This window comes from Homo sapiens, chromosome 15 (genome assembly GCF_000001405.40).
Source record: "Homo sapiens chromosome 15, GRCh38.p14 Primary Assembly".
Classification (NCBI taxonomy): Eukaryota; Metazoa; Chordata; class Mammalia; order Primates; family Hominidae; genus Homo; species Homo sapiens.
In genome coordinates this window covers 90,649,961-90,666,146 of record NC_000015.10, presented here as the reverse complement: position 1 = coordinate 90,666,146, position 16,186 = coordinate 90,649,961, and the positions used below count along the sequence as shown (strand labels likewise).

At 49.1% G+C, this 16,186-nt stretch overlaps 2 long non-coding RNA genes across 2 annotated transcripts in view, besides 10 other annotated features; one reads left to right on the top strand and one right to left on the bottom strand.

Moving 5' to 3' along the window:
• CRTC3-AS1 (CRTC3 antisense RNA 1) overlaps positions 1-16,186 on the top strand; it is a 97,132-nt gene that overhangs the window by 50,994 nt on the left and 29,952 nt on the right. The window lies entirely within an intron of this gene.
• Positions 480-859: a silencer, noted in NCBI's record as "silent region_6826". NCBI's record gives its function as "represses an Ori minimal core promoter by ATAC-STARR-seq in GM12878 lymphoblastoid cells {active_cell/tissue: GM12878}" and the evidence as "EXISTENCE:reporter gene assay evidence [ECO:0000049][PMID:35858748]".
• Positions 1,040-1,299: an enhancer, noted in NCBI's record as "active region_10088". NCBI's record gives its function as "activates an Ori minimal core promoter by ATAC-STARR-seq in GM12878 lymphoblastoid cells {active_cell/tissue: GM12878}" and the evidence as "EXISTENCE:reporter gene assay evidence [ECO:0000049][PMID:35858748]".
• Positions 1,193-5,913, bottom strand: LINC01585 (long intergenic non-protein coding RNA 1585). The gene is made up of 3 exons (NR_120371.1): positions 5,323-5,913; positions 4,664-4,754; positions 1,193-1,792 (listed from the first exon to the last, which is right to left on the bottom strand). It is a non-coding gene; the product is annotated as a long intergenic non-protein coding RNA 1585 (long non-coding RNA).
• Positions 1,340-1,389: an enhancer, noted in NCBI's record as "active region_10087". NCBI's record gives its function as "activates an Ori minimal core promoter by ATAC-STARR-seq in GM12878 lymphoblastoid cells {active_cell/tissue: GM12878}" and the evidence as "EXISTENCE:reporter gene assay evidence [ECO:0000049][PMID:35858748]".
• Positions 2,996-3,045: a silencer, noted in NCBI's record as "silent region_6825". NCBI's record gives its function as "represses an Ori minimal core promoter by ATAC-STARR-seq in GM12878 lymphoblastoid cells {active_cell/tissue: GM12878}" and the evidence as "EXISTENCE:reporter gene assay evidence [ECO:0000049][PMID:35858748]".
• Positions 4,047-4,106: an enhancer, noted in NCBI's record as "active region_10086". NCBI's record gives its function as "activates an Ori minimal core promoter by ATAC-STARR-seq in GM12878 lymphoblastoid cells {active_cell/tissue: GM12878}" and the evidence as "EXISTENCE:reporter gene assay evidence [ECO:0000049][PMID:35858748]".
• Positions 4,767-4,816: an enhancer, noted in NCBI's record as "active region_10085". NCBI's record gives its function as "activates an Ori minimal core promoter by ATAC-STARR-seq in GM12878 lymphoblastoid cells {active_cell/tissue: GM12878}" and the evidence as "EXISTENCE:reporter gene assay evidence [ECO:0000049][PMID:35858748]".
• Positions 4,957-5,006: an enhancer, noted in NCBI's record as "active region_10084". NCBI's record gives its function as "activates an Ori minimal core promoter by ATAC-STARR-seq in GM12878 lymphoblastoid cells {active_cell/tissue: GM12878}" and the evidence as "EXISTENCE:reporter gene assay evidence [ECO:0000049][PMID:35858748]".
• Positions 5,229-5,757: an enhancer, noted in NCBI's record as "H3K4me1 hESC enhancer chr15:91203621-91204149 (GRCh37/hg19 assembly coordinates)". NCBI's record gives its function as "activates a minimal SCP1, AML or CMV promoter by ChIP-STARR-seq in primed H9 embryonic stem cells {active_cell/tissue: H9 hESC(primed)}" and the evidence as "EXISTENCE:reporter gene assay evidence [ECO:0000049][PMID:30033119]".
• Positions 10,857-11,086: an enhancer, noted in NCBI's record as "active region_10083". NCBI's record gives its function as "activates an Ori minimal core promoter by ATAC-STARR-seq in GM12878 lymphoblastoid cells {active_cell/tissue: GM12878}" and the evidence as "EXISTENCE:reporter gene assay evidence [ECO:0000049][PMID:35858748]".
• Positions 11,347-11,546: an enhancer, noted in NCBI's record as "active region_10082". NCBI's record gives its function as "activates an Ori minimal core promoter by ATAC-STARR-seq in GM12878 lymphoblastoid cells {active_cell/tissue: GM12878}" and the evidence as "EXISTENCE:reporter gene assay evidence [ECO:0000049][PMID:35858748]".

Below are 16,186 nucleotides of genomic sequence, written 5' to 3'. Positions count from 1 at the left end.
CTGGGTTTTTATTTTTGTCCCCAAGGTACAAAAAGTACTACCAGCCGCGCACAGTGGCTCACGCCTGTAATCTCATCACTTTGGGAGGCCAAGGCGGGAGGATCGCTTGAGCTCAGGAGCTCAAGACCAGCCTGAGCAACGTAGTGAGACCCCATCTTTACAAAAAGTTTAAAAATTAGCCGGGCGTGGTGGCGTGCGCCCGTAGTCCCACCTACTCGGAAGGATGGCTTCAGCCCGGAAGTTCGAGGCTGTGGTGAGCCGAGATCGCTCCACTGCACTCCAGCCTGGGCGACAAAGCGAGACCCTGTCTCAGAATAAGAATAAAAATAAAAGTACTGCCTACTTTCTGAACGCGCTCAGGCGGTGCCGCCTCAGGCGCTGTGGTGGGGCCGCGCACAGGCTGCCTGGGTGATCTCAGGAGGGCGAAGCCCCACGACGCAGGTTTGGGGCGGTCCTGTCCAACCCCCTGCGCATCCCGGGTGTCCAGAAACGCAGGCTGAACGCTGGAGCCCGGGGCGTCCTCGGTGCCGGAAGCGGCCGTGCGGCCGGAGCTCCGGGGAGGGACAGCCGGGCAGAGGAGCCGGGCTTTGGGGTCTCAGCCGTTTGCAGGGGTCCCCGGGCCCCCGTCCTTCCACGCGGAGGGCGTGAAGCGGCGGGGACGCGGCTGGGGAGCCCCCCCCGCGGCGGTGAGGACGCGGCGCCGCTCCCTTCCGGTGCTGCTCACCTGGAAGCCGGAGGCCGCTGGGGGTTTGGGGCGGCTGCACGCTCCGGGGTGGGGGGATGCGGGAGCCCGGTCAGGCCCAGCCGCCTTTCCCGGTGGTGAGGAGCGCTGTGCCGGGCTCCGGGGGTCTTACGCTTTCAGCTGCCGGGCCTGCCCCCGGCCACAACAAGGCCCTGACCCAGCTCTGTCGGGGGACGCTACCCGGCCCTGTCCCACTCCGGCCCAACGCTGTGATCCTAGGGTTCTCAGGCAACGGCCAGGCCGAGGGGCCTGCCATGTCCAGCTCGGGGCTGGGCTGTCACCGCCAAGTTAGATCCGGGCCAGCGCTGTGCTCGCGTTGCTTCACTCATTTGCTCACCCATGCATTGACTGACCGACTCCCCCACCAGGACCTAAGGGTCCGCTGCACCGGGCCAGGGGGCCCATCACCGTCAGCGGATTGATGAATTGCGCTCCCTTTTCAGGGCTCCGTTAGTTTTTGTTTTGTTTTATTTTTAAGACAATCTTGCTCTGTGGCCCAGGCTGGAGTGCAGTGGCGTGATCTTGGTTCGCTGAAGCCTCGACCTCCCAGGCTCAAGCGATCTCCCCGCCTAGGCCTCCAGGGTAGCTGGGACCACAGGCACGTGCCACCACACCTGGCTATTTTTCTGTTTGTTTTGTTTTGTATTGTTTTGTTTTGTTTTGTAGAGACAGGGTTTTGCCATGTTGCCCAGAATGGTCTCTAACTCCTGAGCTCAAGGGATCCTCCTGTCTGGGCCTCCCAAAGTGCTGGGATTACAGGCGTGAGCCACCACACCTGGCCTTTTTTTTTTTTTTTCTCTCAAAATCGCATCACACGCAGCACAGGGGTCCCTTAGTCTCTGCATTTCACCGAAGGTCGGAGATTTTCCTTGATTGTCTTTTCCCGTGGCCAACATCAGGGCTGGTGGCTTTAAGAGTCCTGGGGGACACTTTTCTCTTAAGGATCTGGTAGCTTTCACTCCATTGTCTCAGGCATTGACGGTTGCATGAGAAGTTCACGGTTGTCCTGATTATTAAGATCTTCGGAAATCATCTAAGTTTGAATTTTTTCTGCATGAAATTTGGGAGAAGTCTTTATTTATTTATTTATTTTTGAGACGGAGTTTCACTCTTGTTGCCCAGGCTGGAGTGGCCATCTTGGCTCCCTTCAACCTCTCACTCCCGGATTCAAGTAATTCTTGTGCCTCAGCCTCCCGAGTAGGTGAGATTACAGGCATGCGCCACCACACCCAGCTAATTTTTGTATTTTTAGTAGAGACTGGGTTTCACTATGTTGGCCAGGCTGGTCTTGAACTCCCGACCTCAGGTGATCCACACGCCTCGGCCTCCCAAAGTGCTGGGATTACAGGTGTGAGCCACCACGCCTGGCCAGAAGTCTTTATTTTTGTACCAAGTTTAAGAGTTTCGCCAAGAGATAGCTTAGGGTCAGTAGTCTCGTTTTAATTGGTACAAGATGACCCATCTCAGTTCATTTTAAAGTCTTGCATTCATTTATTTGACAAATATTTATTGAGTGCTTACTATATGCTAGGTAGGCACTGTTTTAAGTTCTGGGGAGAGAGCAGTGAAGAAAATAGACAAGCTCTTTGTCCTTAAGGATTTTACAATGGGGTGTGTGTGTGTGTGTGTGTGTGTGTGTGTGTGGTGTGAGTGAGAGAGAGAACAAGTTTTTGATTATTGATTTCCTTCCACCTGATTTATTTTATCCAGAAACTTAAAGTGTTTTTCCCTCATACTATATCTTCACACTTTATCCTAAATGCCTGGCATTTTCCCTTGTTTTCTTTTCATCTCTCCATTAATTTCCCTCACTTGCCACATAGGTTTCTCTTGTTGATCTTCTGCTTAATAATCCAATTTCCTGTAAGCCTATTTATTTCCGCTTCCAGGGACAATCTGATATGATGAAGCACCCAGTTCCCCCTGCACTGTCCCTGTCTAATCTCCCTCAGAATAGGTAATAGCTGTTTTCTAAAATCTCCTTACATTTCATATGAGAGATCTATTTCAGGAAATAGGATTATCAATACAATTTTGCTGCTTTCTTCTTTTACATCTGTGCTCAGGGCTTTCTCACTGGGATCAGATTAATTTTCTTCCTCTTATATTCAGACCTCCATGCAATTCATGTGTAAATCCAACAAGAGCAAGTGGATGTTTAAACCCTTGTAGCATGTATGTGTAAATAAAGAGAAGAAAGGAAGGAGGAATGGAGCGGAGGGGAGAGGACAATTTAAATAGTGCCAGCGAGTCTACCTATCATTCTACTCAGAGTGTGTGCCCAGAATAAGCAGAGATAGATGCGATGGGAGCCTGTTACTCTCTCAGTGGGTCTCACAAATGCCTCTTACACTGTGAGCATCTCATTATGAGGACTGTGACTTTCATGTCTAAAGATGTGTATTTTTTGGCCAGGCACGGTGGCTCACGCCTGTAATCCCAGCAATTTGGGAGGCTGAGGTGGGCGGATCCTCTGAAGTCAGGAGTTCAGGACCAGCCTGGCCAACATGCTGAATCCCCGTCTTTACTAAAAATACCAAAAAAAAATTAGCCAGGCATGGTGGTGCATGCCTGTAATCCCAACTACCCGGGAGGCTGAGGCAGGAAAATCACTTGAATCCGGGAGGCAGAGATTGCAGTGATCGCGAGATCACTCCAGCCTGGGCAACAGGGCGAGACTCTGTCTCAAAAAAAAAAATAAAATAAAATAAATAAATAAATAAATAAATAAATGTATGGGTAATTTAAGGGATTTTCATGAGTAACTCTGTATGGGATAAAGTCTTACGTAGAGATTTTAGAATCACTCCTCCGATAAGATGTGACCCTATCATACTAGACTTGTCAACCACAGTGTCTGAGCGGCCATGGGACTTCTAATTGACTAAGGTAGGCAGACACATCTCCCTGAAGCTTCCAATTTATAGGCCACCTGGCAATCTATGGCATGGCTTGGTACAGACAGATAAGATGAGCCAATCATATTCCCCTTCTCTGGAATCTGAAATTGGGAATAACCAAAGGAAGAGGCACTTAGCCATGGAAACTGAGGCTTCATGAAATGCACTGTCATTTTTGCAATACCCTATTGGCTACACAGGTCAGCTCTATTCAATATAGGAAGGAACTTCATGGCACAATTCATTAATTTAACATTTGTTGAGCACCTATGATGTGCCAGGCACTGTTCTAGGTCCTGAGGATATGGTGATGAACAAGATCCCCACTCTCATAGCTTACCCAGCAGATGCCCTAGGCAGGCAATGAATAAATATATGAGCAAGATGAAAAGAGAATGCCAGAAAGCCCTGAAGTTTTGGAGCAAAGCCATGAACTCTTTTCACAACTATTTCCTTTTTGAAAAACATCTCTCCACTTGCTGTTGGGTTCTGTTGTTTGTGAGTGCAAGGATGGAAGAAGGCAGATGACGATGTTAAGCAGCCAAAGGGGTGGACTGTTCAGGCCATGGAGTTAGTGTAGCAGGAGATTAACAATAATAACTAAGGCTGGGCGCAGTGGCTCACGCCTGTAATTCCAGCACTTTGGGAGGCTGAGACAGGCAGATCATCTGAGGTCAGGAGTTTGAGACCAGCCTGGCCAACATGGTGAAATCCTGTCTCTACTAAAAATGCAAAAATTAGCCAGGCACAGTGGTGGGTGCCTGTGATCCCAGTACTTGGGAGGCTGAGGCAGAAGAATTGCTTGAACCCAAGAGGCGGAGGTTGCAGTGAGCCAAGATTGCACCACTGCACTCCAGCCTGGGCGACAGAGTGAGACTCCATCTCAAAAATAATAATAATAACTGATAATAATATAGAACAATTCTAACAATATACTGTGATAAAACTGATGTGAATGTGGTTTCTCTCTCTCTCTCTCTCTCTCTGTCTCTCTCAAAATGCCTTATTGTACTGCACTCACCTATTTTTAGATGGTGGTTGACCGCAGGTAACTGAAACCACAGAAAGCAAAACTGCAATGTGGGGGGGCTGCTTGCATGCTCCTTTCAGACCTGTTTGTGAGAGAGTTTTAACTGGAGGGTATCTAAATAATCAGAGAGTGGGAAGAGAAAGGGGTACTCACTTTTTATAGTTTTGTATTGTTTGTGAATGTTTTCTATTTCATATGTTTTGTAATTAAAGCCAAAAAGGGTAATGACAAAAAGGAAAAAAAATGCTATGTGTCTGGCTTTTGGGAAGTTATTAGAGGGAGTGGAAATTCTACCACCTCCTATTGCTAAATCTCATTAAAGTGCCCTTGAAATCAACCCAAACCAACTCTCAGGCACGGCCAGAACAACGGAGGCAGAGCAGAGCTCAGGATCCTGAATCCACACCCCCCGGCCACTCCTGGTGGGAAGAGAAGAAGGGGGCTCGTTTCCTGTGGTTCCCACCCTACCTGGCTGGAGAGGCTGATGTGGGGCGAGGTGTGACCACCAGTGCATGTAGGAGGCGGAGAAGGCAGTTTCTCCCACTGGCCGGTGCCCTGGGCCCAGCCCAGGACGGGGAACTAGGACAAGAGCCCAGCCCTCCAGCATCAGGTCTGGCGTGGCTCTGGGAGGAAGGAGGAAGAAAACTCACCCATGTCACCCCAAGTCATGGGGCATTTCCAGTGAGCACATACAGACTTAGGAACCCGGGAGAAAGCCTGGAGGCTAGAAAAGCTGAGACCACAGTCAGCTGGGCTGCAGATCTTTGCTCCGCCTTCCTCCAGACAGCACAAGTGACTCAGCCCTCCCCAGGGTGCTGCTTCTCGCTCTGACACCACGATTTGGCCTCCTCTCACTCACAACTCTATCTCCTCTCTGTGTCATTCCTCCTACTCAGGGCCGATAGTCAAAATATCAAACCACTAATAAAGCATGGGCACCTGCCAGTCAGACTACACACCAGCTGGGAACAATGGCTAGAGGTAGCAAATTGCCCCAAAACTTAGTGGCATGAAACAACAAACATTTGTTACATAACACACTAATGGGTCAGGAGTTTGGGTGGTTCTGGCTCAGGGCCTCTCATGAAGTTGTCAGCATGTCAGAGTTGGAACCATTTGAAAGCTTGGCTGGGGCTGGAGGATCCTCTTTCAAGGTGTCTCATTCACAAGGCTGTCGGCAGAAAGCCGCAGTGCCTCCCCAGTGTGTGGGCCTCTCCATAGGGCTGCTTGAGTATCTTCACAACATGGTGGCTGGCTTCCCCAGAGGGAGACATTTGAGAGACCAAGGCAGAGTCACAATGTCTTTTATGACCTATCCTTGAAAGTTATATACCGTCACATTGCAGCATCCTATTGGGTCAGCCCTAGTCAATGTGAGAGGGGCTACACAAGAGTGTAAATACAAGGATGCAAGGATCACTGGAGGATGTTTTGGAGGCTGGCTACCCCAGGTACTATATTATGTCCTGTTTAAAACTCTCTAATGGCTTCCCACTAACCTCAGAATAAAATCCAAATGTCTTACCATGATCTGCAAGGCCTGGCATGAACTGACTCCTACCTACTTTCCAATCTCATTATGTTCCTCTTTATTCACCTGCACTAAACTCCAAACACATCAACCCTCCCTACATCCATCAACATCTGAAGCTCATCCTTTACATTTTCTGCTCCCCGTGTCTAGAAGTCTCCTCGCCCAGATCTTTCTATGGCTAGTTCCTTCTCATTGTTTGGGTCTCAGCCTAACGTCACCTCCTCAGAGAGGCTTCACTGACCCCTTATCAAGTGTAGCCCTCACCCCACCTGTCACTCTGTCTTACATCACCTTGTGCTGACCTCCTCCTAGCACTGATCTCTATCTGAAAGTAATTTATTTGATTATTGCTTTTCTCCCTTCGTGTACTGGTAGGAGTCCTTAATTACAAGCAACAGACTGCTCTTTAGCTGCTTTTAAGCTACAGAGGAACCTATTAAAGGATAGGAGGTGCCTCATAAAATCTTAGCGAAATCAGAGAACCAGGCTCAAAGGCCATTTACCTGCACTGGTTCTTTCTGCTGCTGCCTCTGGGATCTGCTGTCATCCTGACAGAAAGGACTCCAGTCATCTGCTTCTCAGTGTCACTTAGCCTCATGCAGGAGCAGCCAACGGGTGGTGTCTTAAGTTGTATGCTGTGCCCAATCTTCAAGAGAGATGGGGAAAGGTTCTGGCTTCCATCATAAGCAGGTGTGAGTTCATAAGGTAGGAAATTCGCAAAATAGGAAGACTGTTCCATGGGCTGGGGAAGCCAAAGAGAGCTGATGCTATTTGGCCTCGACAGTCCACGCCTTTAGCTGCTTAATGTCATCAGCCAGCCTTCCTCCATCCTTACGCTTACTAACAGCAGAACCCAACAGCAAGCTGAGAGATGCTTCTCAATAAGAAAATAATTGGGAAAAGAGTTCATGGCTTTCGGGCCGGGCGCGGTGGCTCACGCCTGTAATTCCAACACTTTGGCAGGCTGAGGCTGGTGGATCACGAGGTCAGGAGTTCGAGACCAGCCTGACCAACACGGTGAAACCCCATCTCTACTAAAAATAGAAAAATTAGCTGGGTGTGGTGGCACGTGCCTATAATCCCAGCCACTCGGGAGGCTGAGGCAGGAGAATCGCTTGAATCCGGGAGGCAGACGTTGTGGTGAGCCGAGATCGCACCACTGCACTCCAGCCTGGGTGACAGAGCAAGACTCTGTCTCAAAAAAAAAAAAAAAAAAAAAGAGTTCATGGCTTTACTCCAAAACTTTAGTGCCTTCTGCTATTCTCTTGTCATCTTGCTCACATATTTATTTATTGCCTGCTTAGGGCACCCACTGGGTAACCTATGAGAGCAGGGATCTTGTTCATCACCATATCCTCAGGACCTAGAACAGTGCCTGGCACATCATAGGTGCTCAATAAATGTTAATGAATTGTGTACATGAAGTCCCCTCTGTGGACTGATGGCCAAACCTCGCCCCACATCAGCCTCTCCAGCCAGGTGGGATGGGGATGGTGGGAAGCGAGCTCTCCTCTTCTTCTCTTCCCACCAGGAGTGGCCGGGGGGTGTGGATTCAGGATCCTGAGCTCTGCTCTGCCTCCGTTGTTCTGGCTGTGCCTGAGAGTTGGTTTGGGTTGATTTCAAGGGCATTTTAATGAGATTTAGCAATAGGAGGTGGTAGAATTTCCACTCCCTCTAATAAATTCCCGAAAGTCAGACACATAGCATTTTTTTTCCTTTTTGTCATTACCCTTTTTGGCTTTAATTACAAAACATATGAAATAGAAAACATTCACAAACAATACAAAACTATAAAAAGTGAGTACCCCTTTCTCTTCCCACTCTCTGATTATTTAGATGCCCTCCAGTTAAAACTCTCTCACAAACAGGTCTGAAAGGAGCATGCAGGCAGCCCCCCCCCATCGCAGTTTTGCTTTCTGTGGTTTCAGTTACCTGCGGTCAACCACCATCTAAAAATAGGTGAGTGCAGTACAATAAGGCATTTTGAGAGAGAGAGAGACCGCATTCACATCAGTTTTACCACAGTATATTGTTATAATTGTTCTATTTTATTATTAGTTGTTAATCTCTTACTGTGCCTAATTTATAAATTAAACTTTATCATAGGTATGCATGTATAAGAACAAACATAGTCTACATAGCGTTCAGTCCTATTAGCTGTTTCAGGCATCCCCTGGAGGTCTTGCAACGTATCCCCTGAGGATAAGGGGGGTGCCTATTGTACTCGTTCATGTCCATGTAGGGTTGAGCTGGCATTTCCAAAGGACAGATTCCTAGAAGTTTATCTGCACATTTGCAGTGTTGATAGGTTCTTCCAAATGGCCCTTCAAAAGATTCTACAGCATATAGTGCCCACAGTTTACGGAGCACTACTTTCCCTTTGCCAACTCTAGATATTATCTGTTTTAAAATTTGCATTTATCTCATCCCCAGGGAGCATCAAGGTCATTTCTCAACTCCAGGCTATCTGAATTTCTTCTCTTGCAAGTTGCCTGTTCTTATCCATTGACCATTTATATATTGGAATATAAAGTTTTATCCTCTGATATGAAGGGGCTGTTTGCATTTTAGTGCTATTTTGCATGTTGCACATATTGTCTATTATTTGTCTTTTATATTTGTCATAGTCTCTAGCCCTACAGTTTTACATTTTTATGAGGTCAAATCTGTTCATTTTTTCCTTTAGGGCTTCTGGATTTTGTGTCTTGCTTAGGTTTTTCCCTTCTCCAAGAATATAGAAATATTTTATCATATTTTCTTCTAGGATCTTAGTAATTCTGTTTGAGGCTGGGTGCAGTGGCTCACACCTGTAATCCCAGCACTTTGGGAGGCTGAGGCGAGTGGATCACTTGAGCCCAAGAGCTGGAGACCAGCCTGGGCAACATGGTGAAACTCTGTCTCTACAAACACTACAAAAATTAGCCAGGCGTTGTGGTGGGCCCCTGTGGTTCCAGCTACGCAGGAGGCTGAGGTGGGAGAATCACTTGAACCCAGGAGGCAGAGGTTGCAGTGAGCAGAGATAGAGCCAGTGGACTCCAACCTGGGCGACAAAGTGAGACCTTGTCTCAAAATAATAACAGTAATTCCCAGCTACTCGGGAGGCTGAGGCAGGAGAATGGCGTGAACCCGGGAGGTGGAGCTTGCAGTGAGCTGAGATCGCGCCACTGCACTCCAGCCTAGGCGACAGAGCGAGACTCCGTCTCAAAAAAAATAATAAAATAAAAATAAAAATAGTAATTCTGTTTGACAGCTAATGCCAAATTGTCCTCTAGAAAGGTTGTTCCAATTTACATCCCGTCAGCTGGAAGAACCCTATTTCCCCAACACCCTCCTCAGCCCTGAAAATTAGCAATCTTTAAAAAGTTTTGCCAGTGGTGAATATGTATTGTTCAGCGTTGTTGATGTTTTAATTAGCATTAATTTTGAGTGAGATCCAAAATCTTTTCATGATATTAGTTACTTGTGTTTCTCTGTGAACCGCAGGATCCTCTCCTTGCCCCTCTTTTCTCTGTTGGGCTGTTGGGCTTTATCTTATTGATAAAGGGCTGTTTATGAAGGAAATGAGCCCCCGTGTCCTCATCTGTAGGGTAAATAATTTCCCCAGTAGGTCTCTCTGCCACCTCCTGGCAGTAGGGGCGGAGCAAGTCCTTGCCACACCCACCGGTCGCCTACAGCTGCCTCCTCCCCTGGACTCAGCACATCTCTAAGTTCTTAAGCTGGCCCTGGACTCAGCACATCCCTAAGTCCTTAAGCTGGCCCTTCCCTTCCTTCCCTTCACAGGTGTTCTCTTCTGCTTTTTTTTTTTTTTTTTTTTTTTTGAGATGGAGTCTCACTCTTGTTGCCCAGGCTGGAGTGCAATGGCACGATCTCAGCTCACCGCAACCTCCACCTCCTGGGTTCAAGCAATTCTCCTGCTTCAGCCTCCCGAGTAGCTGGGATTACAGGCATGCACCACCACGCCTGGCTAATTTTTTGTATTTTTAGTAGAGACGGGGTTTCTCCATGTTGGTCAGGCTGGTCTCGAACTCCTGACCTCAGGTGATCTGCCCTTCTCGTCCTCCCAAAGTGCTGGGATTACAGGCGTGAGCCACTGCGCCCGGCCTTCGGGTGTTCTCTTCTGAACACATCTTATGGCTAGAGTTTTCACATTCAATTCGGTCCTCACAACTTCTGATAATGAGGACATCCCTTTGTAGTTTCTATTCTTATTGCAGATTTTAAAATACATGTTGTTTCAGTCATGTTTAGAAACTTGGGTTGGGACAGGGAAGCTGGAACAAGTGCTCGGGCTGCCATATCTCCAGTGTTAAAATCTTTTTTTTTTTTTTTGAAACAGGTCTGGCTCCGTTGCCCAGGCTGGAGTGCAGTGGTATGATCTCGGCTCACTGCAAACTCCACCTACCAGGTTCTAGTGATTCTCCTGCCTCAGCCTCCTGAGTAGCTGGGATTACAGGCACCTACCACCACACTGGCTAATTTTTGTATTTTTAGTAGAGATGGAGTTTCACCATGTTGGTCAGGCTAGTCTCAAACTCCTGACCTCAAGAGATCTGCCTGCCTCGGCCTCCCAAAATGTTGGGATTATAGGCGTGAGCCACTGCGCCTGTCCATGGATCCTTTCAAAGTCTTTAAATCTCTCCCACATCCTGGCTTCATCCTCCCCTGCCTGTCTCCATGCCTTTCCGGTGTGCCCCACAGAACACCAGCCCCATGAGATGTTCCAGACAAAAGATTCAGGGGACAGTTTGAGAAGTGCTGACTACCACGCCGACCTCTTGGAAATGGGCTGGCGTTTCAAAGATTTGAAGAAGTCCTTCAGTGCAGACATGTCTTCACTGTTTCTCCAGTAGCCAGTGCCCCAGGCTGGTCTGAACACTGAGGTGTGCACCCCTTCTCAGCATTATGCAGAATCAGCGCTTTCCATGCCTTGCTGGGGGGCATGCTGGCTTTCAGGAAAGGGCATCACTTTCAGGGAAGCGATGAGAGGGTATTGTCTACAGTGGCTAGAGATGCATGAAGGGGTCACGGTCACATAGGAAGCTCCTCAGAGCTGGGCCAGGGACAGGAAGTGACACATTTCACCAGCCCCCACTGCTACCACCCGCTCCAAAAGAGAAGGCAGAGCCAGCACTAGGAGCCTGGATGGGAGGCCAAGAGCCTGGATTCCAGGCCAGGATCCCAGATGGGAGTCCAGGAGCCCTGATGGGAGGCCAGGAGCCCAGATGTGAGGCCAGGGGCCCAGATTCAAGGCCAGGAGCCTGGATGGGAGGCCAGGAGCCCAGATGTGAGGCCAGGAGCCTGGCTGGGAGCCCAGGAGCCCAGGTGGGAGGCCAGGAGCCCAGATGTGAGGCCAGGAGCCCTCATGGGAGGCCAGGAGCCCAGATGTGAGGCCAGGAGCCCAGCTGGGAGCCCAGGAGCCCAGCTGGGAGCCCAGGAGCCCAGATGTGAGGCCAGGAGCCCTCATGGGAGGCCAGGAGCCCAGATGGAAGCCCAGGAGCCCGGCTGGGAGCTCAGGAGCCCGGGTGGGAGGCCAGGAGCCCGGGTGGGAGGCCAGGAGCCCAGATGCGAGGCCAGGAGCTCGGATTTGAGGTCAGGAGCCCGAATGGAAGGCCAGGAGCCCTGATGGGAGGCCAGGAGCCTTGATGGGCGGCCAGGAGCCTTGATGGGAGGCCAGGAGCCCGGATGGAAGTCCAGGAGCCTGGATGTGAGCCCAGGAGCTTTTACCTGGGAGCACCAGGGAGAACAGTGGCCACTTTCCTGGCCAAGCTAGTACATGACAACAGGGAGAAGAACCTCGCAAGTACAGGTAGGGGTTGGCGTCAGGGAGAAAAACGAGCTCTTTGTCAAAATATAAACAAAGAGCCCTGGAGTAACGGAAATCCTGGAGGTCTGCTCTGGGAAGTGCCCAGGTATCCAGGGTCAACCAGGGCTGCCTCATTAACACAGTGTGGAACTGCCCCGGGAGAGTGAGCCCTGAATGCCAGAATTCTGGGACAGTGAGGGACAGCTGTCAGCTGGGTTTCCCAAACTCTGCCCACCAACATCTTGCTATGATAATGTAGGCTCTACCTAGCCTTAAAATTTGTCAGCCAAACAAGACCCTTTTGAAGACCACTTGAGCCCAGGAGGCAGAGACTGCAGTGAGCTAAGATCGCGCCACTGCACTCCAGCCTGGGTGCAGCGACCAGGGTGCAGAGCGAGACCCCGTCTCAAAAAAACAAAACAAAAACAAACAAATGAACAAACAAAAAACACCTCAAACCAGGACCCTTTTGAGGATGAAAGGAGGCACCATTAATAATCGTGCCAGGACAACAGACAATCAACAGGGACACAGGGCCGTGTGCATAGGAACGAGGCCTAGAGGCAGTGCTACTTAAGAGCCAAGTGCATGGGCCCTGGAGTTACAGAGACCTGGGTTCAAATGTGATCTCCACCCTTCCTAGCTGTGACGATGGGGCAAGGCAGTGGCCTCTCTGTGCCTCAGTCTCCTTATCTATCAAATGGGAATGGTGGTGCCTATCTCATGGGGTGTGCTTGCCCCTTGGAAGCAGTTCCTAAATGTTAGCTATCATTTTCCTTACTGTTCTTTCTATAAAATGGGTTCTTTATTGCTAGAAATCATAAATAAAACAAGCAGGTTTGTTGAGAAGGACAAAGCCCATACTCTGAAAGGGGCATTGAACAGTTTTCTGAACACAGAGGGTTCCTGCCCAGGCCTCCGCCCCCCTCTCTGATGGGTCTGGCCAGGGCACCAACACCCATCCTCAATCTTCTCAGGACACCAGCTCTGCAGCCCAGGAGTCCCCAGGACTAACCTGATATGATTCCTATCCTCACCTGCTCAAAGCCTGGCTTGTTTAAAGTACGGGATCCTCCTCAGCTGGCTTCTATATAAGCGCTGCTTCCCTCTAACAACCTCTGCAACCTCCCAGAGACCGTCTTACTGGCTGCAAACGAAGCCACGCAAGCTGTGGCTGCCGGGCCCCTCTCCTTCCAAAAGCCAGGCCAGTGTAACCCGGTCCCCATGTCATGCTGGCTGGGTCAGTGTTCTCTCCTAGGAATCTGAAGCTTGAATGGGGGAGAAACAGGAGTCCAGGAGTCGCTGCAAATGAGCCATATGGACAGTCATGGGAACCAAAGCTCAGGGCTTTTGAACTTTCTTGCCCAAACTTGCAGGTAAGTCCTGGAAACAGAGACCTTTGCCTCTCCATCCAGACTGGGCCTTCCGGAAACAGAGACCTTTGCCTCTCCACCCGGACTGGGCTGTCCTGGAAAGGTACAGATGGAAAGGATGAAAAGAATGGCATTGGCCGGGTGTGGTGGCTCACACCTGTAATCACTTTGGGAGGCCAAGGCGGGCAGATTACTTGAGGCCGGGAAGTCAAGCCTGGCCAACAGGGCGAAACCCTGACTCTACTAAAAATACAAAAATTAGCTGGGTGTTGGGGTACGTGCTGGTAATTCCAGTTACTTGGGAAGCAGAGGTTGCAGTGAGCCAAGATCATGCCACTGCATTCCAGCCTGGGCAGCAGAGCAAGACCTTGTTTCCAAAAAAAAGAATGACATTGGCTGCCATTTAATTGGGTGCTGGGGAGTCAGAATCGAATCAGACGTAGTCCTTATGTCACGTTTCTTATAGACCAGTGGGAAGGCAAACGCTCTACCACAAAATCAGCTCTACAGTTAAAACAGTAAAGCTGGCCAGGCATGGTGGCTCACGCCTGTAATCCCAGCACTTTGGGAGGCCGAGGTGGGTGGATCACGAGGTCAGGAGATTGAGACCATCCTGGCTAACATGGTGAAACCCTGTCTCTACTAAAAGTACCAAAAAAAAAAAAAAAAAATTAGCCAGGCGTGGTGGCGGGCGCCTGTAGTCCCAGCTACTCGGGAGGCTGAGGAAGGAGAATGGCGTGAACCTGGGAGGTGGAACTTGCGGTGAGCTGAGATTGCACTACTGCACTCCAGCCTGGGTGGCAGAGCGAGACTCAGTCTCAAAAAAAAAAAAAAAAAAAAAAAAAGTAAAGCCGTGGAAATCAAGTGCAACTCAAGCACAAAGGGAAATGAACAGAGGTGGTGTATCAGTCAACTGTTGTCACATATATGCTGTGTAACAAATGGCCATAATTCAGTGGCTTACTACTCTCAGCGTTTATCTTTGGCTCACGTGTCTGTAGATTTCTGGGGCAGCCCTGCCGATTTCAGCCGGACCTGGCTAGATGGCTCCTGGGCATGGGTTTGGTTAAGGTCTGTCCTGTCTCTCATTCTTCTGGGACCAATGGGCTACCCAGGGAGTAGCTGTGCTAGTGGCAATGGCAGAAGCACAAGAGGGTGAGCCGTGTCACCGAGCCCATGTCAAGGTGCAAGGGCCTGAACCCAGTGGGCCGGGCTCCAAGGCCTCCTGACCCCATGTCAAGGCTTTGCTGTTTGGTCGTATCTCCAGCATGTCACCGGCCAAAGCAAATCACGTAGCCGAGCCCGAGGGCAAAGGGGCTTGGGGGCAGCTGGCAAGGCCTGCCATTAGGTCTGCGGGTGCCTGTTTTCTGGGCTTGGGGGTCAAGTAGATGGGAGACACCTAGACGGATGGGAAATCTTTTTAAAAATGGGGGGGTAGAGCCTAGAGATCCCACAGTAGGAGGGGAGGGAAGTAAATATTTGCAAATGAGAATCCAAACCTCACAGAAGGCTTCACAGAGGAGGTGTCACTTGACCTAGGCCTGGAAGGAGAAGTTAGATTTTTCTAAGTGAAGATGGGTGTTGCACGGTGAGCAGGTGTATGCAAACCTAATCCCAAAGGCCGAGGGAGCTGAGAGGCTGAACACAGAGGCTGACAAATCCAGTTGCTTAGGAACATTTAATAGGGACTTAGAAACAAAAGCCATGTCTCGGGCAGCCAGGAGATGGTGGATCCCCACATTGTTGCCCCCCCGAGACCCAGGGCATATATACCATAGGGTTATGATAACATATTTATAGTGTTTACAGCACCACAGTTTTATGATACAGATTTACAGTGTTTATAATAACATATTTACAGTAAGTGTGTGCTCTTAACAGTAGATAAAAGTAGAAATCTTAAAGGCATTCCTGGAAGTGGGGTTAATCAGAAGTCAACATGACGCATTAGCACCCAGGAGGGAGTTGCTTTGGCCTCCAAGGTGGGATAGGGCACAGCTGTCAAAGGGTTGATGGGGAGGAGGCATTGAGGTCCCGCAGCCTGGCATGTCCTTTCCTTGAACACAGTACTTGGGACCCCACCCCAGTCATTTTATTTCCAAATTCTAAAACTTCAACTCTGTGTCACCAGATACAAGTTCAAGACACAGTGGTTTTTAGCAAGTCATCGTAATGGAGGGTACAGTGCTTTGTCCCTTTCCTGTAAATTCCATCGAGCCTGAGTCAGTTATATAGCCCACTCACTCCCATTTCAGAGTTCAGTCTCCAACCTTGCAGTCCAGCAGTGACATCCCTGTGACTGTGACCAACTCAGACCTTGAAAAGACTCCTTGATGACAAAGTCAAGGTAGCCATGAGGTGAAGGAAAATAACCCAAGAATGGAAAAACCCATTCTAGAAGGACAGGCGGTGGAACAGGGAATCCATACACACACAACAGGCCAAACAATGGTGGGAACGATGGTTACAGGACAGGATGTAAGTAGTATAAACCTTGACAATGTAAAAACACGAACTCACAAAATTTGGGAGGGGGAAGGAGCTAGGAAGTGGTGGTGAGCTCATTTCCTTATCCTAAATCGTAGGTTGTCAAGAGATGCCATCTATAGTTGAAACATGCTGAAAGAATGAATCCAGCTGCTTAATATTTTTCTTTCCTTTAGAGAAATAATTTAGAACCAGAAGAAGCAGCGTCATTATTTGCAGCTTGGTAATTTCTTTAGTTACATTTAAGTTGCCTTTTGTTCTGTTAAATTTAAGTATGGCACTTTTTCTAAAAAGAGTATGTATTGTATGAGCCCATT